This window comes from Homo sapiens, chromosome 2 (genome assembly GCF_000001405.40).
Source record: "Homo sapiens chromosome 2, GRCh38.p14 Primary Assembly".
Lineage (NCBI taxonomy): Eukaryota > Metazoa > Chordata > Mammalia > Primates > Hominidae > Homo > Homo sapiens.
In genome coordinates this window covers 15,782,067-15,809,121 of record NC_000002.12, presented here as the reverse complement: position 1 = coordinate 15,809,121, position 27,055 = coordinate 15,782,067, and the positions used below count along the sequence as shown (strand labels likewise).

The window sequence follows — 27,055 nt, the reverse complement described above, 5'->3', positions numbered from 1 at the left end:
AGGCCCGAGGTCAGGGGACTTCCTTGCTACACAGGAAGGCGTGTTCTATCAGAAAAGGGAAATGTTCTCAGACCCTCAGATCTTGGGCGACTAAAAATAAACTAATAGGCCTTAAATTAACTTTTTCTTTCTTTTCCCCGACCTCCTAGCCCCTACTTTCCACCAAGACTTTTCAACTTGAAGGAAAAGCATTTATTATCTGAGAGTGACACACAGGAAATTAGACTTATAAATTGTGCTTAAAATGTTATAGTTTCCAACTTTCTTTAATGCTAATCTTAATGCTAATAGGTTGTGAGATATGTGTTTTGACTTGAGAGATTCTTTTTTTCTTTTCTAATTAATTCTCGGCTACACCACATGAAACATTTGTGGTGGAGGAGTTCCAGGAGTTTGCACGCAGTTGGAGAGAGGGACTCCTGTCGGAGCTCAAAACGGCCATTTTCCTATAGAAGCTTCCAGAAAAATCCTTCTTGGCTAGTGTAAATTTAGTCCATCCGGAAAGCCAAAGCACTCGCTCGCCATTGGAAAATGCAAAATAAAGGATTTGTGTTATCCTGGCGTTCCGATCCCCAGGTTACCTCTACAGCCTGATATTCCACAGTTCTCTAAGGGTCCTTTCTGTTCAGTTAGAAAACCGCCTGCCCGATGTTTCCCAAGCGCACCAGGCTCGCCCACCACATCAGCGCCGCTCCCCCTGCTGGAATCCCATCGCGGCTTCTTGGCTTCCACGTGGGTTCTTACAACCGCGGTCGTGCTGAGCTTGTGCTGCACTGGCTCCCCGCTGTGCTTCAGCATAGCTGTTAGTGAGGAGGGTTCATACTTGCGGTCGGAAACACTCTCCCAAGGGCAGGACTGATACGTCTGGTCCGACAGCCACCCCTAGTCCTGCCATGGGAAGGCGGCCTCGTGGCTGGAGGGAGTGGAAAGGCTTCTAGGCCTCATTAGGTTCGCACTGTTCACCATGGCTGGAGAGGACGGTGACGTGTGGGAGGAGTGTGTTCCCATGGTTTTCCAGGTGAGCTCAAAGACCTTCTGTGAGGTTGGGTTTATGGACTGGGGAGCCAGACTGAGCCCTCACAGCTGACACGGAAAAAAAAAATGGGGGGGGGGCGGGTAGCATTCTCTTATCTTCAGAAATGAAAAGAAAATACATGAACTCTACCCGTGGGAGAGGTTGGCAAATTCTTCCCTAAGCCACTTCCCTCTCCTGCCAGGCACACGGTTACACTCTCTTTCCCAGCCTCCCTTACAGGACGTAAGTTCTCTCCCAGCTATAGTCATGGGACTGAGCCTGTCCCGTAGAACATGAGGAAACAGGATGTATGTCACCAGCAGCCCCGGCCCATGAAGCCTCCTGTGTGGCCCAATGCTCTTTCTCTTCCCTCAGCTCCCCTGCCTCGCCTGGTGGAGGTGGAGGACCCCGTGGAGCACTCCAAGGCCCTAGAGGAGGGCAGAGCCTCTAGACCAGTGGCCTCCGACTGGGGACCATCTTGCCACCCAGGGAACGTTGGCGATGTCTGGAGACGTTTTTCGGTGTCACAACTAAGGGGTGTGTGTGTTACTGGCATCTAGTGTGTAGAGGCCAGGATGCTCTAGATCAGCAGTCCCAACCTTTTCAGCACCAGGGACCAGTTTTGTGGAAGGCAATTTTTCCACCGACTAGGGGTGGGTGGGGGTGGGGATGGTGGTAGGGGGATGGTTTCTGGATGAAACTGTTCCACCTCAGATCATCGGACATTCATTAGATTCTCATAATTATCACACAGTCTACATCCCTCACATGCACAGTTCACAATAGGGTTATCGGTCCTAGGAGAATCTAATGCCGCCACTGATCTGAGAGGAGGCAGAGCTCAGGCGGTAATGCTCACCCACCACTCACCTGCTGCTGTGTGGCCTGGTTCCTAACAGGCCCCAAATCGGTACCAGCCTGCGGCCTGGGGGTTGAGAACCCCTGCTCTAGACAACCTAGAGCACAGGACAGCCCCCACAACAAAGAATTACCTGGTTCCCAAGTGTCACCATGCCATGGCTGAGAGCCTCTACTCTAAATAGAAGGACCGTGGGTCTCTGAATAACTGTGTGGTTCTCTGCCAAGCTGCACTGCACTGTGATAGAAGCAAGAAATAGATCTTATCAGTGAAGCCCCTGAGACCCAGGGGTAGTTTGTTAGAGGAGTCAGTGTGCTGTGAGTACCCTGCTCCCTGACAGTAAATGTACAACGCTGAAACAGAGGCATGTTTGTGCAATACCGGGGGAGCTCTCTACAGGCCACCAAATCAGAACCAATGACCCCTCCTCTGTGCTCAAGAGCACAGTCCAAACCCTTTTAATTCTTACTGTGGCCCAGTGATGGTGTCATCTGTCATTATCAAGCCCACCTTGAAAAAGTCTTGTGTGTCCATAGGTGCCACCTGAAATGAACTGTGAGGTCTTCGATGGCAGGGACTGAGTCTCTTCCAAGTTCAGGTGCATTTAATGAGCTCTTTCAGGACCCTACTCTGTACCACCCTGCTCATAAGCTTCAGTCCTTGCCCTCAAGTTTCCAGCCCAGTGGGAAAGACAGAAGCTTGAAGAGATGTTGGAATCCTAAATGACAAATGCTGTCGTGAAGACGTGAATAAGGCACGATGATCTTACAGTCTGTCGCATGACATTATGGTTTTCTGCCCCCAGGTCTCATCCCTAGAGGCTGGGGTCCTTAGCAACAGCCAATGGAAGTAGTGGAGAGAGCCAAGGAGTTGCTAGACCCACGGACAACACTGTTGAGTTCCATCAACACAAATGACCACCGCGCTCCTCTCCGCTCCATCCCACTGGCCTGCCCTCATCGCAGCTCTCTGCTTCTCATATCTGGATGGCTGTGGTGGGTCTCCTGTCTCCATTCGTGCAGTCAACAAATACTTGTGCAAATATGCCAGATACCGTACCAGGCCCTGGGGATGGAGCATCAACACGAGAGTCCTGTTTTTCTAGTTGCATCTTCACGTGGTTGTGGTCTGGTGGGGTATGGACTAGTAAATAGGCAACGACCATATAGCCAGGTGCAGGCTGCAGTGAGAACATAGATAAGAAACACCTCTTCTAGCTTTGGGGGCCAGAGGACTTCCCAGATGGAAGTGACATCTAAGCTAAGATTTGAAGGAGTGGAATTGGGGAGATAAGGCTGGGGATGTGGGAAGTAAGGGGGAACAGAGAAAAGCATAGGTCTGTGGGCCCCGAGACAGGAGAGAACACTATACCTTTGAGGAACATTGAGTTTGTTGACACACAGAAGACAAAGAAAGTTCAAGAACCTAATTTGAGAGGCAACCTATGCCAGATCATGCAAGGACTGTCTGAGGGCAGTGGAATGGCACTGAAGGCTTTAAACAGGGGAAGAAGACATGATCCTATTTGAGTTCTGGAAGGATCAGTCACACTGACCTCTTGAGAATGGACTGGAGGAGGCAAATCTGGACTTGGTTGTAGTCACTTAGATGGGAGACGATGGTGGCTGCACTATGGTGCTGGAAGTGTCTTCCAGAGAAATGTAGACTAGAGTCTCATCTCTATCTTCAGCCCGCCCATCATCAGCTGCTGGAGAGAGATTTCTTAAACCTGAATCTGATCACATTACTCTCCTGCTCCACAGTCTTCAGTAGCCCCCATCGCCTATGGGATCACATACAGACTCTGCAGTCAAAGTCCTTCATATGCTGATTCCTTTGTGTCTTTCTGGATTGCATCATCTCTCATTATATCAAACTCAAATCTTGCTCCAGCATACCTAGAACTGCTCACCAACTCCAAGTCTCAGCTCAGATGTCACCTTTTCTAGAAAATAAATCCTTTTAGTTCCCACTCAGGCTGGGTTAGTGCCTTGTGTCCCAATTGGCTGTCTCCCAAACTAGACTGGGAGCTTCCTAAGGACAGGAGCTGAATCTCTCATCATGGCATGCCCAGAATGCCTGCCGCAGGGTGCCTGAGAACACACACCTGCTCAGTAAATACATTTTGGAAGAAGGACCAAATGGATGGACAGCTACACTGCCAAGCATCCAGTTGCTTCCAACTAGAATGACTTGTTTTCATCTCTCCTCTGGAAGGCTTAACATTGCCAGTCACATGGAAGAGAGGATCTTAATGGAGAGCTGACAGTCTGGATCACATGTAAATAATATGAAGCCTTCCTATCTCCCCTGAGCCTACAGGGATTCTCCACTCTTTAGTATTCCAAGGGTCCTTGGGCTTCCCATGAACATGGCAGAGATCATATGCCCTCTTGTTCCCCTGTGCCTATATTGGCTTCTCTCTTTTTCACAATAACCAAGGAAGCAGTCTATTCTTCATTTTCTCCCCTTTGATTTTGTAATAGAGCAGCAGAAAGAACACTGTAATAGGAATCAGGAAAGCCAGTGGTCTCAGGTACTAGTTCGCTGTGCGACCTTAGGCAAGTCTTCGTGGGCCCCAGTCTCCCTGAGTATAATAAGAAAGAGGTGAGGGAAGGGGCCTCTTCATACTCCCTTCATTTCTATTATTTGATCCTAGATTAACAGCCTTTACCCCTCAGCTCTGGCCTCACCACTGATTCTTGGTCCTGCACTCAGGAAATCCATCTGTGGGCTCACTAATGAGGATGTCCATAGCATTGTCATATGCATTTGTAGGACTGTGAGAGGCAGAAAGGGAATGAGAACTGGATGGCAAAGTGGAAGGACTGAGTTCAAGTCCTGGCTCCATCTCTTGCAGCCTTGTGAAATGGGTGTGTGTCTCTCTGAACCTCAGTTTTCCCTTGTAAATGGAAATTCCAGTGTTGCCTCATGGTGCTGTTGGGAAGATCAAGTGAGATCCTGAACGCAAAAGCCCTTTGGAAACAGTAAAGGGCTATATTTCATTTTGCCTTAAAAATGTGTACATCTCAGAACTTTTGGTGTTTTGTGGTCTGACGTGTCCACAAGATGATGTTTTTCTCCTCCTACTTTGTGTGCCTCCCGAGGAATGGTGGGAGGAGCAGAGCAGGGACAAAACACTCACTGAGAACCTCATTCCACCCCGCACACCCGCATCGGGCTCACTCCCCTTGCTGGGTATGTGGGAAGATGGCAGGACTGTCGGGTGAGGCCGTGTGACCAGACTAGCTGATGAAATGGGGGGCAGAATGGCATATGTCACTGTTGAACTGATGCACTGAAGGACCATTGTGCCATGACGACCTTGGATGCCACATGTAGAGAAGATGGCCTCACAGGACAGAGGGAGTCTGGCTCTTTGAGCCTAAAGTGACTGTATAATTTGTCACTCAAAAAGGGACGCTTTTGAGAGGGACGGGGGAGGGTGCTAATGACAATGAAGCTGGGACAGCAGGTGTGGACCAGCATGGTCTCACCTGCTGAAAGGTACGGTCCTTCTACCTGAGTCATGGGATGGAGGGGAGCTCCATCAACCTGCATGGGACTTGGAGCGGGTGATTGGTGTTATGCTTTGCCACAGAACTTTGGAGACTTGTCCATTGTGGCAGTTAAGGAATACTTATCCTGATTAATATATGTTCACATCACCAAGTTCAGTTTCCACAGCTATTCTGTGAGGCAGGCATTCTTTCCCCCAGTCGACACAAAAGGAATGTAACATTTGGATAATGAACTTGCCCAAGATCACACAACTGGTTTGAAACCCAGCTTGGACTGATTCCAAAGTTCATGCTCTTTCTCCTTTATTCTGCCATCCTCCTCTCAGCCCAACTGAGACTTCCCGATCCCCAGAAGACCAATGAGAAGGGGCCATAGTTTGAAAGTGTGTGTCTACATGCTAACCCCTAAGAAGTCAGCCCTCTTGGCTTCTCCCTCTACCTGCGGAGTTCTGAAGGGAAATGCCCATATTTCACTTAAAAAAAAAGATCAAAAGCCTTCCATCAGTCACTTTAACTTATTTATGAGTTTGATTTTTTTCTTGGATCATTTCCTTTCATTCCTGCCAGAAGCCCTTGCCTGCAATCCTCCCAAGTTATTAATGAAAGAAGTCAAACGGTAGCGAGTGCAGGAACATTCCTGGCTCCTGCTGACTTGTGTCGTGTGTGCTGGAAGCAGATGTTTTCACCCAGATCATAGACACTTGCCAGGCCTCTCACATCTGCCCTGTTTGCAGATGAGGACAAAGGAAGTCAGAGGACAAAGTCTATTTCCAGCCCAGCTAAGAGAAAAGGAAGAGTCAGTGTTCACATGGAGCATCGTGCATTGTGCCCACTTAGTGTGGCCAGCTCTGGGCTGGTTGCTGAGGTCTCCTGGTGAACAAACCAGACATACTTTTCCCAACTTTTCCTCCTATCGTTTCACCTGCGTGAGAAGTTTCAGTAATTTATTGGGTAGGGGTTATCAATAATGGTCACAGCCTTCCTGTCCTCTTACACTGCGGGTTAAAATGGTCTCCTTATTTTATTTTTTTGGGTTTTTTTTTTTTTAGAAAGGGTCTCATGCTGTAGTCCAGGCAATGGCATGATCACAGCTCATGGTAGCCTCTACCTCCTGAGCTAAGTAATCCTCCCACCTCAGCCTCTTGAGTAGCCGGGACCACCACAGGTGTTCACTACTATTCCTGGCTAAATTTTTGATTATTTTTTTGTCGAGATGGGGTTTCAATATATTGCTTAGGTTGGGCTCAAGGGATCCTCCTACTTTGGCCCCTCAAAATTCTGGGATTACAGGCATGAGCCACAGCACCTGGTTTTTATGATTTTTATGGAGTTCTGAATTAAAAAAAAAAAACTCTACAGAAAAGTTTCATATAGATATCTAGGCCAAATATACTCCAGAGATCTATTGTAGCTAAGGTTCTGGTGCCCAGAAAGAGAAAACTAGACAAGCAACTCGCCCTAGGGCACATCGTGTTGGCCAATCCCCAGCCTCTGCCATGCCAGTTCACACAGCGGATTCATTTTTCCCTTGCTTGTCTGGGTAGACTCCTCTCCCCTCTATTATAACCAAATTGAAGCATTCTCTCTGGGTCTAAGTGATTCACCCATTTAAAAGCCTTCCATTCTCTTATCCCAGGCAGGAGAAGACCCTGCCTGAACCCAGCTATGTGGAGAGGCCCACGGGATGGAGGTTGAGGTGGAGCATGAGCTGCCCCTGAGCAGACAGAACAACACAAAGGGGCTGGGAATTGAGAGTGGCGGTGCCCACAGGGAGCCCACAGGCAGGAAGACCCAGGCTGGAGGATCAGGGCCCCCACGGAGGAAGACTTTGGACTAAAAGTCACAAGACCTTGCTTTTAGTGCCAGCTTTGTCACTAACTGGCAATTTACCGTAATGAAATCACCGATACTGGCCCAACCTTCATTTCTTCATCTGTAAAACATATTGCCAGGGACGAAGTTTGCAATTTCGTTGACTTCAAAAGGTGGCTGTGGGAATAAACTAAGATACTGGAAGAGAAATGGCTGTGCACGTGGTAGGTCTATCGAAACGCTAAGGGGACTTCATAATCATTTGCACGTTGTCATAAAGGTTTTGAGAACCGATTATGTCAGCGATACAAGCCTAGGTCTGAATCGCTTGCATTTGTGCCTATACTGTGTGCATGAGTGTGTGTGCACACAGATTTTTCTGTTCTGGAGAGAGTCTGGGCCATCAAGCGTTTGAAGGTTCAAATCCTTCATACCCCGGCAGCGTTGCTGACTGCACCTCCACTGGGGAGCAAAGGTGGGGCAGCCATCCCTAGGATCTTGGTTTCTAGCAGACCGAGGATGGAGGCTGCGTGCTCAGATTCCTGGGCCTCTCCTCCTGGGCATCTTCCTTCCTGTTCCTCCTCGTGGCTGACTCCTGGCCTGTGGCCGCCATCCCCACCAGCTGGCTCATTTGCATGTGGCCCCAGTGGGTTCCTGTGCCCACACAATGAAGTGGCTGTACCCATGCTTCTGCCCCTGGGTCCTAGCCAGGCCTGCACTCACACTGTGGGCTCCATTCATTCCAAAGGACACACAGTCCCCAGCCGCCGGGGCCCACCAAGGCTTGGAGAGACCCAGGGCCCAGTCTCACCCTGGAGGCGGCTGAAGGCCTGGGTCTTGCGTCATCAAACATTGCTCACATTCCGGGGGGAGGAGAGGAGACAAGGCTTCCTCAACACTGGTCCGCTCCAGGCCCAGCCTAGCTTCTGAACTCTTGTATTTTGCTTGTACCACCCTGCACTGGCCAACTTCCTTCTGCCAGGTTTTGCTCTCTTCGGAGCTGGCGTACACAGTTGTGTGACAGGGTTTGAGTCCCACATCGGCTGCTTACCCACTGTGTGACTTTAGCCAAATTGCATCAACTCCTTTCAGAACCTTCATTCCCCATTTGTAAAATGAGGGTATTAATTTCTGTCTCTCAGGATCGTTGTAAAAATGAAATGAAATGTGCAAAGCGTCACCGTCCCTTTTACTGAGTGGGTGTTGATAAAGGATTGTGTCATTGAAATAAAGGTGTGACCTCGGCAAAGCATGTTATCTCTTGGGGCCTGCTATTCACCTGGGATGGGGGTGAACCCCAGTACTCAGGGACACGGTAGGAACCGGCTGGAGGTAAAAACACTTTATACACCTGAAGTCCCATCTGGGCATGGTGTTAGATCCTCTGGAATATCAAGTCATTACCGAAATGATTGCAAAGCCCTTGGCATTCGCTATACTTGGGTGAATATTCACTATACTGGGGTGGGTGTGGGGTGTGGGGTGTGGGGACAGGGCTGTGCCTGAAGCCAGAGACCATGCCGGACATACATGGTGTAGACTTCTGGAATTCTAATAGTCCCATCTGGTGGGTCGTCCCCTCACAGTGTAACCTCCCGGGTTCATTGAACCCATGCAGTTCCTCTCGTGCATGTGCCTCTGACTCTGACTGCATGCGCTGACATCACGGGAGCAGTATGCTGACCTGGGGGAGCAGGGATTTTGGTGCCAGAAAAATTGGATAATATGCGATGGCCTGACTTCACTCTCCCCTATGTCCATCCTCTTGGGATGCTCCTGGGCTTGCCCTGTAGGCTGTGTTCCCTGTGGCTCATGTACAAGAAGGATCAGGCCAGGGTCCCAGGGTCCCCAGGCACCTGCCCTCTCCCCTGCGCTGCCTTCCTGTCCAGGAAGCAGCCGGGACTTCCTGGTGTGAGGCCTGAGGACCTATTGGCCTGCAGAGCCCTTCAAAGATCTCTCAGCACTGCCTCACTCGCCTCATTCCCAGCTAGTCCCAGGACAACCCCGGGAGCAGGGAGGGCACTTGGGGTGTTGGGGAATATGCTGAGTTGGAACTCAAAACACCCTGGGTTTGAGGTCTGGCTTTGCCACTTGTGGGATCTGTGACTCTGGCCTTCGATTTCTCCCCTGTCACAGTGACCCAATTGGGAACCAGGTTGCTGCAAGGACAAATGCCAAGCACTTAGCACTGGCTGAGTGTTCCCTAGATAGAAAAGGGTACGTGAATCTACTGGTTGTATTTGTCTCTGCACATCTGGTGCCTGGCACAGCACCCGATAGTCATAGCTACAGTTGTGTTTAGATTTGCATCAGCTGAGCACCTGTTTCAGGCTCTGCTAGAGACTACCTCAAGGATGAGTCACCTGTTTCTAGGGTGCTTCCAGACCAGTAGGAGCAAGAGGGTGACTTGTGCTTGTACCTCTGACCATGAAGCAAAACAGACCCAGACCCAGAGCCCTGCACTGAGAGAGGGTGGCACCAGGTGCTCTGTGGGAGGGGGCTGGAGGGACCACAGGGTCAGAGAGGGAGGAACGCACGGAAGAAGAAAGTTTGGGACCTCTAGGATGCAAAGGAATTGTCCAGGCTGAGCCAGAGGAAGGGCAGTGGATCCATTACAGCACCTGCTCTCTGTGCCTGGGCATAGGCCCCTCCTCTGTCTAGAATGTCTGTCTTCTCCCTTAATCACCAGCAATCATAGCTCATCCTCCAAGCCTTAGTTCAGGCACTTTTCTCCCTCTGAGCCTTCAGCTAGCCTTGGAGGCTCCATCTTATCCTGGAAGTCCTTCTGCTGTCACACTCATGATCCTGCATTGTATCCGTTTTCTTTCTCCTCTTTCTTTTCAGAGATGAGTATCCTTAGGACTGGATGCCTGGAAAGGACCCTTAAAACCTCTCAAGGGGTTCCATCCAAGTAGGATATGGGGACTGAGTGACTCAGAGATAAGAAAGCCAGGTGGCGATTTCAGTGCTAGGGCCAGGCTGTGGCCAACTGCATGCAGGCTGGTTGAGTTCATTCACTGATAGTGGGAGATGAGGCCAGAAGGAAATATTAGGGCCAGATGGTGAGGAGCTTAAAGTTCAAGCCTGGAAGTTGGGATTTTTTCCCAGAAGCATCGGAATCAGCTTAGTTTCTTTTACAAATATTCATCTACCATGACTAGCTGAGGCCAGTGGCACTTGGCTGAGATGTCTCAGGGATTCCTCTGGCATTTCCTTCCTCCCTCCTTCCCTTCCTCCTTTCTTCTCTTTTTCCCTTCTGTCCTTCCTTTCAACCTTCCTCCATATCTTACTTTCTTCCACCAATATTTATTGAATGACTAAGTAAGTGCCATCCATTCACAGGTTAACCAGATAAAAACTTTGTCCTCAAAAGCTCACAATGTTATGGAGAAAATGGACACAGAAACAAGGAAGGCAGTGTGCTAAATCCCACCCACCTCTTTGATGGAAACGGTCCACTCCTAGTCCAGCTCCGCTTCACAGTTAGTGTCTTCCGGAGCCAAAATCAGCTATTTTTCTGGCATGACCACATCTCTGAGCCTGGCCCATCTTTGGAGACCAGATTACTGGACAATTTGTTTATATTTACTTGGGACCCCTTGGCCCTCAGGGGCAACTCTGAGGACCCCCACATTCCCTAGATGGCTGCATTCCCGTGGGCAGGTGGTGACGGCGTACACATGTCCTGTGCTGCTGCCCTGCATCCCCAGCCAGACTGTAATATTGCCCAGGGATTTGGGAATCAGATATGTTGGGACCTCAGATTCCCTCCTGCACTCACCCTCTGCCTGGCCTGGAGCAATCAAGGAAGGCTTCCTGAAGGAGGTGCTGTTGAAGCTGATACCTGGGCAATGGTTGATGCTTTGCTCTGGTGGTTGAGGGAAAAAGAAATGAGGTGAAGGAAATCACATTAATCATGTGGAAACTGGGTATTATCATTGCTGCGGCCTCCACGGATGCATATTTGGTGAGGGAATGTGAGAGAGCTGGGAGGTAAGAGGTGGTTACAAAGCGATTCTTTTCCTAAGGCAGTCACCCACAGAATTGTGACTCTAGGAGAGCAAAGGCAGGAGAGACCCCTGGTGGCTGGGGCAGTCAAGGAAGGCTTCCTGGGGGAGAAAGCCCAGGCAGGGGAGGAGAACGCTGGCCAGGCATTGGTGAGCAGTGAGGAGCATGGCACAGGGTCTGCGCTCACCCAGGGATGAAGTTCAGCCTCTCCTCGTCGCTCGCTTTGTAGTCCCGGGTCTGTGGTTTCCTAATTTATTTGGCTTGAAATTTGTGTCAAACTTTTTTTCCAGGTGTAATTGAAACCAAACCTCTAAATGCTTGTTCATTCCTGAGGGAAATTAAAGGTGATTTCAAGCAGGAAGATCACAGATTTTAGAAAAGGGGTCTGGCAGGCAGGGGCAGGGGTGGATTCTGGACTGGAAGGCTCAGCTGTGGGAGCCCCATCTGATTAGATTAGCTGCTGCTGATTATGCTTTCCGGAGAGGGGGTGCTGCCTGGGAGATGCCCGCCCTTGTTGGGGATGAGGAGGTTTGCCAGCTGCAGGGCCTGGTGCGGACCTGGAGGTCTGGGGAGGTCTCTTGCCCCATGGCCCCTTGCCCAGGAAAGGCCAAGGTGAGGAGAGGGCCAAGGTGGGGTCAGGGAGTGGACGAATCCCCCAGCTCAAACCCACCCTCCTCAGAAAACCTCTCTGTCCTGGAGGGTAGCTAATGGGGAGACTCGGGGGAAAGTTCCCCTGCCCCCCACACTCAGAGGCTGTGTGACCTCAGGCAAGTCACACAGCCTCCCTAAAGCTTTCTGCAACTCAGTTCCTGCATCTGTACAAACGGAACGGAAAGATGACCCTAGAGTGGCAGCCAGGATTAAATTAAATGAGATGGCGCCTGTGAAACCCTCCAAGCCTGTGTCATCATGGGCACCTACAGATATCTAAGGTGGACACTAAGGTGGCGTCCCAGCGGTCGAGGGAAACAGCCAGGGGTTAATAGCGACTTAACCAAGATACACATTTTCCTCAAGGAGTAAGGATGGGCCTCATGGGTGCCTTAGAAACAAAAGCCATTTTTATCTCACTTTCCTCCTGCCCATAAACAGATATTTGAAAAGTTTGCCATGTAAGCTTTAATTCCTGCTCACCCAGAAATATTTTAAAAGGGTGCAAACTTTTCTATGGGTTGAGCACTCTGCTAACCACATTCCATGCATTTAAGCACTGAATCCAACGAAAGATAGGAAGTAGGTATTACGCTTCCATTTTACAGGGGAGAACATTAAGATTCAGAAAAGCTGTGTAAATCTGTCCCCGGGCCTGGGGCTGGGACATGCTGAGCCTGGGTAAATCTAACTGCAAAGGGCCCATTCTCCGACTCTCTTTTTACACCCAGCTCAAAGCCTCTTCTCTGAAAACCTGCTTGGTGTGAGACAGGCTCCGGACCCTGAACAGCTCTGTGAGGGCAGCAGTGTAATGCACACCCTACAGAGATACTCAAGCCCAGACTCCGTATGAGAGAGGTGCTTCCGACCCACTCCTGTTGACCTGCTCCTCCCCTGTCCCCTCCTGGATCTCAGCTTTCCTGGCCACCAGCTGCCCTACTCCTCATTCCCCATCCTCTCTCCTGCCTCAGGGTTGCAATTGACTCCCACCTGCCCAACGGCCTCCACTCATGTGCCCACCCAGCAAGGCTGTCTCAGGTGGTCTTGGGTGGCACCTATTTCCACCCAACCCCCAACACCCTCCTTCACAAGCACCACCCAGAGGACAGGTGGTTCCACACTCTGATCATCCCCCAGCCCTCCAGTCTGGACCAGATGCTGATTTCTCATATCTGAAGTACCATCATATGGTTTAGGGATTTGTTCTGTGTCTCTAAGGCAGAGTCTGGAAGCTTTGGGGAGGATTCCAGCTTATCACCAAGAAGGCGTTTCAGGAGTCTGGGGGCTTGGACAAGAGATTGACTTCCTCAGGAAGAAGTGAGCCTCCTGCTCCTGGAAGAGTGGGAGCAGAAACTGGACAGTCCCTCGGCAAAACAGCCAAGAGGATCTGGGATTGAGCTATGGGATCACACTGGCTGCCCCCTGAGGAAACTTTACGTCTTTAAGAAAACTCTGTCCCACCTAGGACACCACCAAAACGTAGTCTTGCACTTGCTCCTGGCCTGAAGCCCACGTCGGAATGCGCTTCAGAGGCTTTTCCTAGCAGCCACTACTTACGCCTGCTGGAACTCCCTCTTGAACCCAAGCTCTTCTCTCTTCCTGGCTGTGGCCAGGCCAGGTGGACATATTCTGTAACCAAACACTCAGGCTGCTAATGTCATCCAGATGTTCCCCGCTGGCTGCAGCCAGGGCCTGGCTCCCGGTCAACAGGATGTGCCGCCGCTCAATGTCAGGGTTTCTCCTCTAAGGAAAAGCTTCATCTGTCAAGCAAATGAATATGAACTTACTCTGAAACTAAACTGAAGCTTCCCACTTTTCCCCCACAGCCATGAGTGCCCAGGAGGGCACCTCCAGCGTGGCATCACGACCTGAGTCAAGTGCCTCATCTCTGCGTTTTCTTCCTGTGTGGCCTTGGCCAGGCTGCTTAATCCCACTGAGCTCTACTTCCTCTTCATCCAAAGGAAGGTTAAATGGTCTAACATAGGGCTGCTCACACTGTAGGTGTGTTTGAGTCTCCTGGGGGTGGGGGTGGGGGGCTTTGTTAACATGCAGAGCCAGATTTAGCAGGTCTAGGGTGTGGCCTTTCTAACAAGCTCCCAGGTGATACTCCTGCTGCTGGTCAGTGAGCAGTGAGGCTTGGACAGACAAGAAAGGCAGGAGAGGGGAGTGCAGGGGCTCAGGACTCAGGCTCCGGCAGAGAGCACCTAGATTGGAATCCCACTGTGCCTACTTACTGGCTGTGTGACCTTGGAGAAACTCATTCGACTTACCATGCCTCAGTTTCCCCATATGTGAAATGCAGATAATTAAAGTAACTACCTCATAAGGTCATTGTCAAGATTAAATGAATTAACACAGATAAAGAGCTTGCAACAGTACCTGACATATAGCTTTTGTTTGTTTGTTTTTAACATAAAAAGATATGTAAAAGCTTTAGCCCTTTCTTATGGTGCATAATCACTGTCCAATAAATGTTTGTGACATCCAAAAACAGGGTATGGGTGGAGCCATGAAGAGTTGCATACATTTTGACCTGACTTAACAAATGATATGATTCCAGGAACGCAAAGATTTTCATCTTTTTTTCTGAATCTCAACGAGTCACGGCCAGTTGGAGTTTGAAAGTCTTAGAGATTGTCTGGTCCAGTCTCTCTAGTTTATGGCCAAGGGCACAGAAGACAAGAGGAAGAGACTCACTCAAGGGTATATCAAGCTTTCAACAAAGAACTGGCTGCTTCTTTTTAGTGTTCAGGTCTTCCCATGGCCAGAATTTGCCCCAGTCTACCAAGTCCAGCTCAATTATTTTATTTGTGGAGCGGTGGAGGGGAAAGCTTGGTAACAGCCATGGGAAGCATTGGAACAATTGATCCAGAAGATTGCTTGCAGCCATGTCTCCTACCCCCACCCAGCTGGGAGCTTCTTAAGGCCTCCCATTCTGCTGGTACTGCAGGTAACAGTCAATTCTCATTATTCATGGGAGTTATGTTCTATCAAGCTGCCTGAATGCCAAATTAGCGGACACGGAACCACAGCTCCTAGGAGAAATACAGGGCCGGGTTCCTGTGAGCTTCTCATCACAACACTGTTGTCAACCAATCAATACATCACCTTATTTTATGCACGTTTCTGTTTAAAGACACCTTATCAAATATATATTGTTGTTTCACTAACATTCAGTTCACGACCAACAGCACAACTCGCAGCTGAACAAAGCTTAGCTAACTCATGGATGCTCTGTGTCAGGCACATCACAGCCTCCTCGTGCTCAGAAGCGCTCGACAGCACTTCAGCACTGTGCTTAGGGACCATTTAAACAACAACAAGCACGAAGATGCGAAAAACATGGCACTAAATATACCTCAGAAAGGACATTCGGACACAGTCTGAGAGCCGAGACAAGAAGGCAGAGCATTGCACCATTCAGCCTAGGCTGGGAGCATGTGCGTCAGGTGATTCAAATTTCTCACCACTTTGTGCAGGTTCTTGGATAACTGCAAAGGCACCACAAGTATTGATTTGGGGATTATGAATACATTTTAGCCAGCAGGTGAATTTGCAAATAGAGAATCTGTGGATAATGAGGACTGACTGTATTTGTGCACATGTTTCATGCCTACCTCTGGGCCAGGAGCTCTGGGAGAGTAGGGTCCCTGCCTATTGTCGTTTTCTCTCCACATCCCTGGGGTCTGGGACATGGGAGGAGGGAAAGAAGAAGGGGAGATGGAGCAGGCTTTAAGCCTTCTGGCAGATCAGAAACTCACAGCCTGCTGGCACTGCTAGAGGAAACATTCTCTTTAATGAGCTTTAGGAGATCCTGGAGGGGGAAAATAATCAATGGCAACTTTCTCTCCAACTTCAGGAACCACTTACCTTCCGGGCAAAGCTTCTCTGCTGGTCTTTTCTCTTCCCTTTCCCAGCCATTCCCACCTGGCATCTCAGGATTCCCAGGCCGCCCTCCTGGCACCAGCATGGTGGTGTGTAGGCAGGTGGTATGGCCAGGGGCAGGAGGAACCCCCAGGATGCTGAGGGTCAGTGGCCAAGGATGACATTCTGGGAGAACTCTCGGACAGCAGGAAAGGAACGAATATTTCCTGAGCACCTGACATCACATGTCAGGGCCTTCCTGGGTGTGCTGTTTTCTTTCAGACAATCTTGAGAGATAGGTATTGTTATGTATTGTTATTATTATCAGTATTGTCCACCTTTCTTTCTTTCTTTCTTTCTTTCTTTCTTTCTTTCTTTCTTTTTTTTGATGGAATCTCACTCTGTCACCCAGGCTTGAGTGCAATGGCGTGATCTTGGCTCACTGTAATCTCTGCCTTCTGGGTTCAAGCAATTCTCCTGCCTCAGCCTCTGGAGTAGCTGGGACTACAGGCACATGCCACCACACCCAGCTAATTTTTGCATTTTTAGTAGAGATGGGGTTTCACCATGTTAGCCAGGATGGTCTCGATCTCCTGACCTCATGATCCACACACCTCGGCCTCCCAAAGTGCTGGGATTACAGGCGTGAGCCACCATGCCCTGCCATCACATTTTCTAGAAAAGGACACTAGGACTAGGATAGAAACCAGGTGAAGCTGGTTGCCTGAGCTCTCACAGGTGGTAAGTGATAGAGCCACAGCCAAACCCAGGGCTTCAGATGCCAGATCCGGTTGTCAACCTTAAATAATGAGATTCGGAAAATGTGATGAAGTATAGAGTATGTTCGATCACATAGCTCGAGAAGAGGCACCTGGAACCACCCCAACTCCAAACGAACGGGGTCAGAGTTCCAAAGTGGAGAAGTTTAACTTACGTGAACATTTTAGCAGGATGACATTTTTCATACAAGACCAGTCCATACGCCACAGTGATTTGATTGGTTACAGACTGCTACATTCCAAGGAAGATTACTTTATTACACCATGAGGTAGTGATCTGAGAAGGTCTTATCTTTGGCTCTGTTTGGTCTTAATTATTTTTATTTTATTATTTTTATTTTTTAATAGCTTTTGGGGTACAAGTGGTTTTTGGTTACATGGATGAATTGTATAGAGGTGAAGTCTGAGATTTTAATGCACCCACCACCTGAGTAGTGTACATTGTACCCATAGGTAATTTCTTATCCCTACACCCCTTCTGAGTCTCCAAAGTCCATTATACTACTCTGGATGCCTTTGCACATCCATGGCTTAGCTCCCACTTATAAGTGAGAATGTGCGGTATTTGGTTTTTCATTCCTGAGTTACTTCACTTAGAATAACGTCCTCCAACTCCAACCAAGCTGCTGCGAAAGACATTATTTCATTCTTTTTTTATGGTTAAATAGTATTCCATGGTGTATATATACCACATTTTTTCTTTATCATTCATTGGTTGATGGGCACTTAGGCTGGTTCCATATCTTTGCAAGTGTGAATCCTGCTGCAATAAACACACATGTGCAGGTGTCTTTTTGGTGTATTGATTTCTTTTCCTTTAGGTAGATACCCAGTAGTGGGATCGCTGGATCAAATGGTAGGTCTACTTTTACTTGAGAAATCTCCGTATGTTTTCCATAGAGGTTGTGCTAATTTACATTCTTACCGCAGTGTGTACGTCTTCCCTTTCCCCCACATTCATGCCAACATCTATTGTTTTTGGACTTTTTAGTAATGACCATTCTTTCAGGAGTAAGGAGGTATTTCATTGTGGTTTTAATTTGCATCTCCCTGTTGATTCGTGATGTGAACATTTGTTCATGTTCATTGGCTATTTGTACACCTTCTTTTGAGAAATGTTTGTTCATGTCATTTGCCCACTTTCTCTCTTTATGAGATTGGTCTTAATTATTTACAGGAGAGAAAAGGCAGAAGTTGCAGCTGCACGCCTCCTGACTCAGGCTACATGGCCACACTCCTCTCAAGGCCTGGAATAATTTAAAGTTTCAACAGCTTTAAGTTTGAATTATTATAAGCTTGAATTCTATAATTTCACACAGTGCTCACTCCATCCCTTCACGTGCCTCTAAATTGAAAGTGACCCAGACCAAGTCCAGCCTATTGAGCTCCCTGTGCTGGTCCCTTAGCTACCAGCATGGTGGAATGAACGGCTGGTCTCAGCACCGTGGCCAGGAGGCAGTGCCTTCCTTGCCTTTCCGTGCTTGCCTCACTCCTCTTTCTGGAGAATGTGAAGGGAAGTGAATAATGCATCTACAGCTATGGGGTGGTCTTCAGCTCATAGCACAAAAGGGAAAGAAGTTAGCGTGGGTGGAAGTATGGCCCTAGAACCCTCCAACACCCTGCTTGTCCTGCTGAGGATGGTGGAATCCAGTGGGCTCCCCATAATGGCTCAGCCCTAGCATCTGAGATGTCCCCAGACCTAGGGGCTCTGGAGGGACCTGTGCAGTAGAGCAGGACCTCTGCAGCCACGCGGCCACACAGAAGGTCACGGATAGTTTGGACACCGTTCTTCCCCCTTCCCTATTCCTCTTTCCCTATTCCAGTCCCAAACCTCCCTGCACACTCCTAAGATCGCTGCATCCAGATTGGGTTCCAAAAAGATGGCCACTGAGCTCATACCAGAGCACAGGCCTTGAGCAGAAGCATTTTCAGGGTAAGAGTTGGGCCTGTGGTGGGGAGGGGGCACTGAGTCTGGGCAGAGGGCAGCTGAGTGGAGGAGGAAGCTGTGCTCCCCCGGAAGCGCCCCCTGCAGAACAGGCACGTCCGGGTGATGCTCACTGAGAGGGTGTCCGCAGCTCCGCTCTGGATGGGGAGAGCCTTGAGGGACAGCAAGAGTCCCCTCACTCATTACCTGGCACAGATCCAAGCTTCGAGCCTCCCTGCTTCACTGCAGTCCCAGGGGAGGTGGGCAGGACAGGAAATGTTAAAGATGAGAGGGGCCTCAGTGTGGGCCCGTGTCCTTCTTGCAGCCTGGGCACCAAGTACAGCATCCGGGAGCCCTCACTCTTAAGCCAGGAACTTTCCACCCAATCCTGCTGATGTGTGAGTGCCTCTTCCTCACGCAGAGGGAGCCTGACTTCCTCGGCTCCAACATGAGCCCCTCCATCAAATTCGCTATTTAGCCCTGACTTCCCAGTGGTCCCTGTTGCTCTTGTCTGGAACTATAAGCAATACCTAAGACAGAAACAAGATTCTGGTTGGCCCTGGGCCACGTGATAAGGAACTGGAACAACTGACCAGAGGGGATGGAGGTCCTTGTCAATGGTTATACAAGCCTTCATTGAATGTGCTGTCTAGGCCAGGCCCAGTACTAGGCACCAGGCAGAGAGGAAAATAGGATGTATTCCCGACCTCACATTGCTCCCAGTGTATACGTATGATGGAAACAGATTATTTGGTCGGACCAGGAGAGGGGTCAGCAATTTTTTTTTTGTAAAGGAAGACATAGTAAATGCTTTAGGCTTCGGGGCCTGTAAGGTCTCAGAAACAACTACTCAATTCTGCCTTGCAGCATGAAAACACCCATAGATAACAAGTAAACAAATGAGCATGGCTGAGTCCCAATAAAACTTTATTTACAAAAGTGGGCAGTGGGCCAGGTTTTGCTTACAGGCTGGGACCCCGATCTAGGATATAAGTTATACAATAAGTAATTTCGAAACACAAAGGAAGGGGGATTGATTACCACTGGAATGGAGATGAGGTGAAAAGTTTTGAGGGAGAAGCAAATCACCACCCTTCTCTTGGCCTCTGAAACACAAATGTTCCCACCTGGCTCACTGGCTTGAGAACGTAGGGGTTGGGAAGAGTGTGGGAGTGCCTTAGAAACACACATCAGGACTCAAACCCCTACCATTCATCCACACCGCCTATTAAACACGTTCTAATCATTTATTCAGCGCTCATCCTTTGGTTGTTGGACACGAAGCACTACACTATGCTCTTTACATAAATTATCTTATTTTACCTTAAAATAATCCATTTAGGTAGATAATTATGATCCCCATTTTACAGAGGAAGGGACTGAGAGAGGAAACATTGATTTAGTAAACACCTACTATACAATAAACTTCAACAAGCTCCACCATTCTAGGCAGGGAGGTGGTGCTGTTCTGGGTAAAGCCCCATTTTTCAGCTGTACAGACCTGCATTTTTTATCTTGGTTCCTCATTTAGTGTTCAGGTTAGAGAAGGCTTAAGCTCTCTGAGACTAAGTTTCCTCATTTGGAAAATGAGAATTCGATGCCTGTCTTGCAGAATTTCCTTGCAAAGCGGAGAATTGGTGTTGACGCGTGGAAAGGGCCTGGCCCGGTGCCTGGCATGCAGTCGGTGCTCACTGCACCCACTGCTAGTAGGTGAATACTGATAGAGAGAAGCACCGCAACCTCAGATCACGTGCTCATCTGTAGGAACAATGCAAACCTCTCGTGCTTCCTTCCTAGAAGTCTCTTTCAGGAAGAGATCTTTGGCTGACCCTGGGACCAGGGCAGAAGGCTTCTCTTCCATGTGGTTACAATTGGCCCTTTGAGGGGCCATCACCCGAGGGGACAGAGCCACTTCCCCCGTCTCCACACCAAGTGGTCCGATTAGAGCCAGCCACCAGAGTGAGGCATCCGGGGGCAGAGGCCGGGCAGTGATGGATAACCCCATCCAAGGACGCATACACAGGGCTATTTTGGGGCCTCCTGCCTGGGAGGCGGCCTCCTTGGGGCATGGGGGCCACTGACCCGGAAACAAATTAAAGGCACATCTGTTGGGAGGCCATTTCCAGCCGTGGCTCCAAGCAGCCGCCCACATTCCTGAAACAAGGGGGCTGTGTGTGTGGGGGTGAGCCAGGCTCAAACTGTCCATGCCGGGACTCCAGGGCTGCAGCCTCTAGCCAGGAAGGAGCAGCCATGGGGGATGTGGGGCCTGAAAAAAAAAGAAGGGCAATTCCTGGGCCAAGCTTGTTTCTGTCAAAGAGGGAGTTGTTTTTCAGGGTCTGGAGTGACTGGGGTTTTTGGATGCTGGGGATTTCCTTACACTCAGCAATCCAGATCAGCTGTCTCCACTTGGAAGACTCCGAGCATGAGCTCTCTCCTCCAACTCCCTATTAACAATCAAAACCCTTCTCATAGTCACAGTGGACCATCTTAGCTCACATATTAGAAGACCCAGGATTCATTTTCCTCTAAACTGGGCGATAGTCCACCTTGGCATTTAGAACTTGCTTTGGATAATAAGATAATATTTTGTCTCTGGGTCCTCCATCTATTGGCCTTAGAGTGCCTCTGAGGCACCACAGGGGAGGGAATGCATGTGCTCAGTAAGTATTCTCAGAATGGATGAATGGATGGAGTATGGATAGATGAATGGACAGATGGATGGATGCAAGATAAATGGATCAAGTATGAATGGATGGATGGACGGATGGAAGGAAGATGGAGGATTAATGGATGGACAGATGGATAGATAGAGGATGGATGGATGGATGAATGGATGATGAACAAAGAATGGAGGGAGTATGGAAGATGGATGGATGGATGGATGAATGGATGATGAACAAAGAATGGAGGGAGTATGGAAGATGGATGGATGGGTGGATGGATGGATGGATGACAGAGAATGGATGGATGGATGGAAGATGAACAGATGAATGGATGGATGGAGGATAGAGAATGGAGGGATGAATGAATGGAGGGATGAATGGATGGATGGATGGAGATTGGATTGAATGAATAGTCTGTGTGGGCACAGAGAATAAAAAGAAGATAAAAAGATGTCTAAGGCCCCTTAGAATCTTAGCATCATCTCCAGATGGAAAGAGTGCTGACATGAGTTCCTTATTGCCCCTGCTTTCTCTGTGGACTTTCCATCCCTGACCTCTCCCCTCTCCTCCCACCCAGGAGAAATGAAATGACAGAGACAGGTCAGATAAAGACAGAAAATAAATTCTGGGACCTTGCATCAGACCACTGCCTCTGGGAGAAACAGAACAGCCAGCAAGACTTTCTTCAAAAAATAATGTATTAAAAACGTTGTCTGATTTTGTTGACTGCCTGTCAAATTTGGAAACCTAGAGAGTGTGAATGTCTCCACTGACAATGTTCACTGATCCATTCATTGAACAATTACATTCTCTAAGCACTTACTCTGGGCCAGGCTTTGTGTGAGGGGCTGTGGAGAATCAAACATAAATCCTCTAGGTCCCTGCCCTCCAAGGGCTCACAATCTGGTGGAGGAGGCACATAAACCCACAGGTGGGCAGTGTGATGGTGGCAAAACCGTGAAGTAGTGAAGGGTGGAGGTTTGAAGCCAGACTGGGTTCAGATCCTGGCTCCACCACCAACTAGCTGTATGGTCTTGGGAAAGTTGCTTAACCTCTCTGTGTCCCAGTTTTAGCATCTGTAAAATGGGGATAATAGTGGATTAAAAAGAGTTATTATTGGCCGGGCACGGTGGCTCACGCCTGTAATCCCAGCACTTAGGGATGCCAAGGTGGGCAGATCACTTGAGGTCAGGAGTTCAAGACCAGCCTGGCCAACATAGTGAAACCTCGGCTCTACTAAAAATACAAACATTCGCTGGGCATGGTGGCGGGTGCCTGTCATCCCAGCTACTTGGGAGGTTGAGACACAAGAATCCCTTGAACCCGGGAGACGAAGTTTGCAGCGAGCTGAGATCACGCCACTGCACTCCAGCCTGGGCGATAGAGCAAGAATCAGTCCCAAAATTAAAAAAAAAAGTTATTATTTATTAAAGTACTTAGAACATTGTCTGACCCACAGGAAGTCCTATATGAAGATTTGTCAAATAAAATAGCCACAGTACAGTAGGGATGCAGAGGAGACATCCTGGTGCTGCCCAACCTGAACAGAGTGATCTTTAGTAGCTTCAGGGACAGACGCCTTGTGGAGGAGGTGGCATCTCAGTGGGACCTCAGCTAGTCAGCTGTTTCTTAAATTGACAGGTACTTACTGTATCCTAGGCACCGTGTTAGGCCCATGGTGTATCCGGTCTTCAATCATCCCCCCGTTGGCAGATGTAATTGCTACATGTACTTCACACAGGAGAAGAGTGACCAGCAAGGCTGAGTAACTTGTTCAAACACACACAGCTCGTCAATGGCAGAGCTGGGCTGCAAACCCGGGTGGCCTGACTATGGACAATTTTTGGCTTTGCCACTTGGCTGCATGTGATCTGAAGCAAGTTACTTAACATGTCTGGGCCTAGCTGCTCTTTGGGAACAATGATGGTGGCCACCTTCAGGTGGGACTTAAGTGAGTTAATACGTGCAATGCAATGAGAACAGCAGCAGGCACGTGGTAAGGGCCCCGTGAGAGTCAGCCCGTCCCTGAAACTCTCAAACCCGCTTCCACCCACCTTGCTCTACGGCCTCGGAGCACTGCAGTCTCCAGGCAGGTGACCCCTTCCACGGAATGGCTCCTGTTCTTGGGAACCAATGATCCTTTCTCTGAGGTACGTGTGCTTTGGGGATGGGAGTATGTACTCTGAGGGTGGCATGTGGTTTGAGTTTGCAAGTGTATTTCCTCTAAGTCTAATGAGCCTCTGAAAGTGATTAAGCAGAAGACAGAAAAGCTGAGCCAATGCCTCTTTATCGGAAGAAATGATATCAAGCCTCGCGCCCCCAAACCCATTTCCCACCAGCTCCCTCATCCTCCCCCAAATAGTGTCGTGGAAATTCCAACCCGAGTCCCTAAACAGCAGAGGAGATGGGGCCTGGCTGGCAGGCATCCCCTGTCCCCTGCACCTCTGGCGCCTTCTTTCTCATTTGAAGGGAACTGGACACAGCCCAGAGCTCCGGGTCAAGCCCTGGCACAGCCCCTGCCCCACCGGTCCCCTTGGGTGGAGTCGTCCTCAGCCTCTGCTCTGCTCACAGCTTCCCTCTGCTATGAAGGATGCCCTTCCCAGCCTCACTGCCAGAAACATCCTGCTCCTTTTCCCAAATCTCCAAGAAGTGGCCCTCACCGCAGCACCTCCTCTCACTGAGTTCACATGTCCACATGGGATTGTAAGTTTCTCCGCCTAGGGGCTTCTCCCTCACCCATTCGTGAGCTCCGGGAGGGTACGGCCCCCGCTGCCCTCGGCACACAGGGTGCTTTGGTGAATGCGCTGGATGAAATGGAAGAAACTCAGCCTCAGGTTCTCTCCAGCCCGCAGCCTTCCTCCCTGAAGCTTCCTGTAAAGACAATTGTGCAAATGGCCCTCAGGTGTCCTGAGAGCCCCAGGCCAGCCCTGCTCCTCATCCTGACCCACAGAGAAAGGCCCCAGAGCCAGCTCCCACCCTGTGCCCCTGAGCAGACACCTCCACTCTTCTCTGGCACCTCCCCGCTGGAGAGGTGGAGTCAGGTGGACGGGATTTTTAACACCTGTGCCTGCTGCAGGCTGAAGCGCCACATGGGGATGTAGAAGTGGTCAGGAAAGGCCAGGCATGGGTGGACACTGAAGCAGATGCTGAAGGAACAGCCCAGAAGGAGGGACAGGGTGCCGAAGCCTGGAAGCCCTGCTTTCAGGGTCTCGGAAGCTCCCTACTCCCCCTACCCCACCCCAGGGCAAGGAATGCTGTATCCAGGGCCCCTGACAGTTGTGTCATTGCCCTGCAGTGATGTGGCATGGACACATTGGCCTGTCTGGGTGCATTGCCCTGGCTGGGGGTGTTCAGGAAGCCGAGGCTGCCCCCATCGCACTCCGACAGCTTCCTGCAAGTCACTTCCCATTGTGCGGGGCCGTCCCACCTTCTTCTGAGAATGGAAGAGATGAGCATAGGCCTTGGAGACCCCTGCAAACGAACTTGAATCTGATAATGCCACAACTAAGCTAATCCCCATAACAGTGCAGGGTGGACATGAGGCTTAAAAAACAAGACAGTGGTCACCAGCCATCCCCTCCCAGCAGTCCCCTCCCAGCCATCCAGCACATTATGATTTCCACAGCCCTTTTACTCCTGGTGTCTCAGACCATCCAGGTCACCTGGGAGCCTGGTCGGGCAGGTCGCCTGAGGACTGATCTTGGAGGTATCTTTCAAGACCACCCATGCCATGGAGTGGAGCTGGAAACGGCTGCTCCGCCATGGGACATGTCAGTCTGTGTGACCAGCGTACAGAAGAGTGACTGCAAGTGAGGCTGGGGAGGTAAACAGAACAAATCCAATTCCTTAGCTGCCCAGCTAAAGAGACTGGCTTGCCTGCTGGTGCTAGAGGCACCAAGGAACTCTGCAGGGGAATGATGAGGGCATTCTGTGCCAGGGAAAGCCACTCTGGGAGCCACAACAGGGCTACATTGGCTGGGAACTCCCTCATGAGCTGTGGCATGTGGTGGGAGGTGATGGCTTGGACTCTACAGGGGTTCCCGCAGCCACATGGGGAGCTCTGGCAGACAGGCACCAGAAGCTCTCAGAAGACAGGTGTCAGGAAGAGCTGGGGACACCAGGAAGAGCTTCCTGCAGGAAGCATCACAGTGGCTGACTTGAAGTAGCAGTAGGTTTGGACAAGCAAAGAGAGGGCACTGTTATAATGAGGAGGTTGGGTGCCTTCAACCTAGGAAAGGAGATCTGTGTGTCCCAGGGTCATGGGTAGAGACTCTCTGACTATGGGAGGATGCGAAGCCATGGAGCGTGCTGGCGGCCGGCTGCCCAGCACAGGGAGAAAACGCCATGGCTGGCTCTGACATGTATCACTGTCCCTGCAAGACACCATCCCACGTAAGTCCCCAAATTTGTGCTAAGGACAGGGCCTGGGAAGGAAAGAAGTCTTCCTACAAAGATTGAAAAGGACTTTGATGTCATAGACTCCAGCCCCCTGCCTGGCTCTGACATACCCTCTGTCATATCTACACTGAGTCCTTCACCAGCTCATGGACACCCAACTTCAGGCACGGGGACCTCCCTTCTCAGAGCAAGCTTTGCCAGCTCTTGCATTTCAGTTCACTTCTGAATACTGAATTGTAAACAACACCTGTCCATCTTTTGGGAGGAAATAGGACCACCGTGATCTTCAGGGCAGAGGAGATTCTTTCTCGGTGTTAAATGCAAAGTTGGCCCTTACTATAGAATGACTGTCCGGGATTAGGGAGTGCCTGACAAGAGCTGAGCCCTCATGGACTGGGAGTGAGGAGACTTGGGGTCTGGTCCCAGCTGCTCTTACCGCTTGTGCCTGTCACTTCATCTCTCCAGACCTCAGTTTGCTGATCTGAAAAAAGAAAATGAGGTTAATTTATCCCCATTTCATACGGCTGTTAGGATGAACAAATACATTCTCGGGTGTGAAAGCACGAAGACACTCTAAATGCAAGTTATCATTGATGATTCTTGCTGGTAGTTGGGTAGTGGGGATGATAATAATGTCCACTAGAACGCACTCTCTAATGAGTTTCAGTAACTTAAAGCACAAAGCCAAGGTGAACATTCAACCTGCAGCCACAGGGCACAGGTCACAGCTCAGCCCTGGAGAGATTTTTTTTTTTTCCCACAAACTACCCTCCAAAGGAACAGACCATGCTTAGAGGAGTGAGCTCCCTGTCACTGATGGTATCCAAGCAGCCTCTGGGTACCCCGTTGCCTCTGATGATATAGAGGAGCTCCTGTCCCAGGGAAAGGAGTTTTGGAGTACGAACCAGCGATTTCTCAGAATGTTCTGGCGCAGAGAGGGTGACTCAAACCATTGCTCCATTGCTTTAATTCCTGCTTCCCACTTCCCCTTGGCAGCAGTGGGCGTGCCATTGTAAAATCCAATTCGTGGGTTGGATTCCCTGCCCCCACATCACACCCCGCTTCACATGCTCTGCCATGCATTCCTCTGTCAGGAGCTTGAAATAGGTCTCCAGGCCAGCTGGAGAATCAGGGTGGTCAGGGACCCCCCTCAGGGGTGGGAGAGGGAGGATGGAAGAGAAGACTCCAGCGACCTTCCTCTGCGGTTATCTCCTCCCATCTGTAAACAGCGCCTGGCCCTCCCCGGGGCAGCCGCAGCCTCACACTCCGGGTGACAGGGTGTTTGGACATTCGGAGACCCTCACCCGCCCGCCTTTGTTCTCCAGGCTTAATGAAGGGACTGCTAAAATCCCAGTTGCCAGATAAGATGACAGGGCAGTCTTTTAGGGTTATGGATGGTACACATGAGGTGACAGGATGAATTCCTGTGTGCAGAGGGATCTGAGCCCCCGCCTGTGACCAAAAGTGTACTCATCTCAACTGGTACAAGTCTGGTCCTTCAGCTTCCAAAACAAACATTGCTCACTCATGCAGAAAGATTACAGGAAGACACCAGGAGAGG

At 49.8% G+C, this 27,055-nt stretch overlaps 1 non-coding gene across 1 annotated transcript, besides 1 other annotated feature; it reads right to left on the bottom strand.

The window, feature by feature from the left end:
• Positions 7,526 to 8,373: an enhancer, noted in NCBI's record as "H3K27ac-H3K4me1 hESC enhancer chr2:15940873-15941720 (GRCh37/hg19 assembly coordinates)". NCBI's record gives its function as "activates a minimal SCP1, AML or CMV promoter by ChIP-STARR-seq in naive H9 embryonic stem cells {active_cell/tissue: H9 hESC(naive)}" and the evidence as "EXISTENCE:reporter gene assay evidence [ECO:0000049][PMID:30033119]".
• On the bottom strand, positions 22,544 to 26,611 carry LOC124905976 (uncharacterized). The gene is made up of 3 exons (XR_007086225.1): positions 26,400 to 26,611; positions 25,931 to 25,975; positions 22,544 to 23,967 (listed from the first exon to the last, which is right to left on the bottom strand). It is a non-coding gene; the product is annotated as an uncharacterized LOC124905976 (transcript).
• Positions 26,612 to 27,055: the final 444 nt, after the last annotated feature.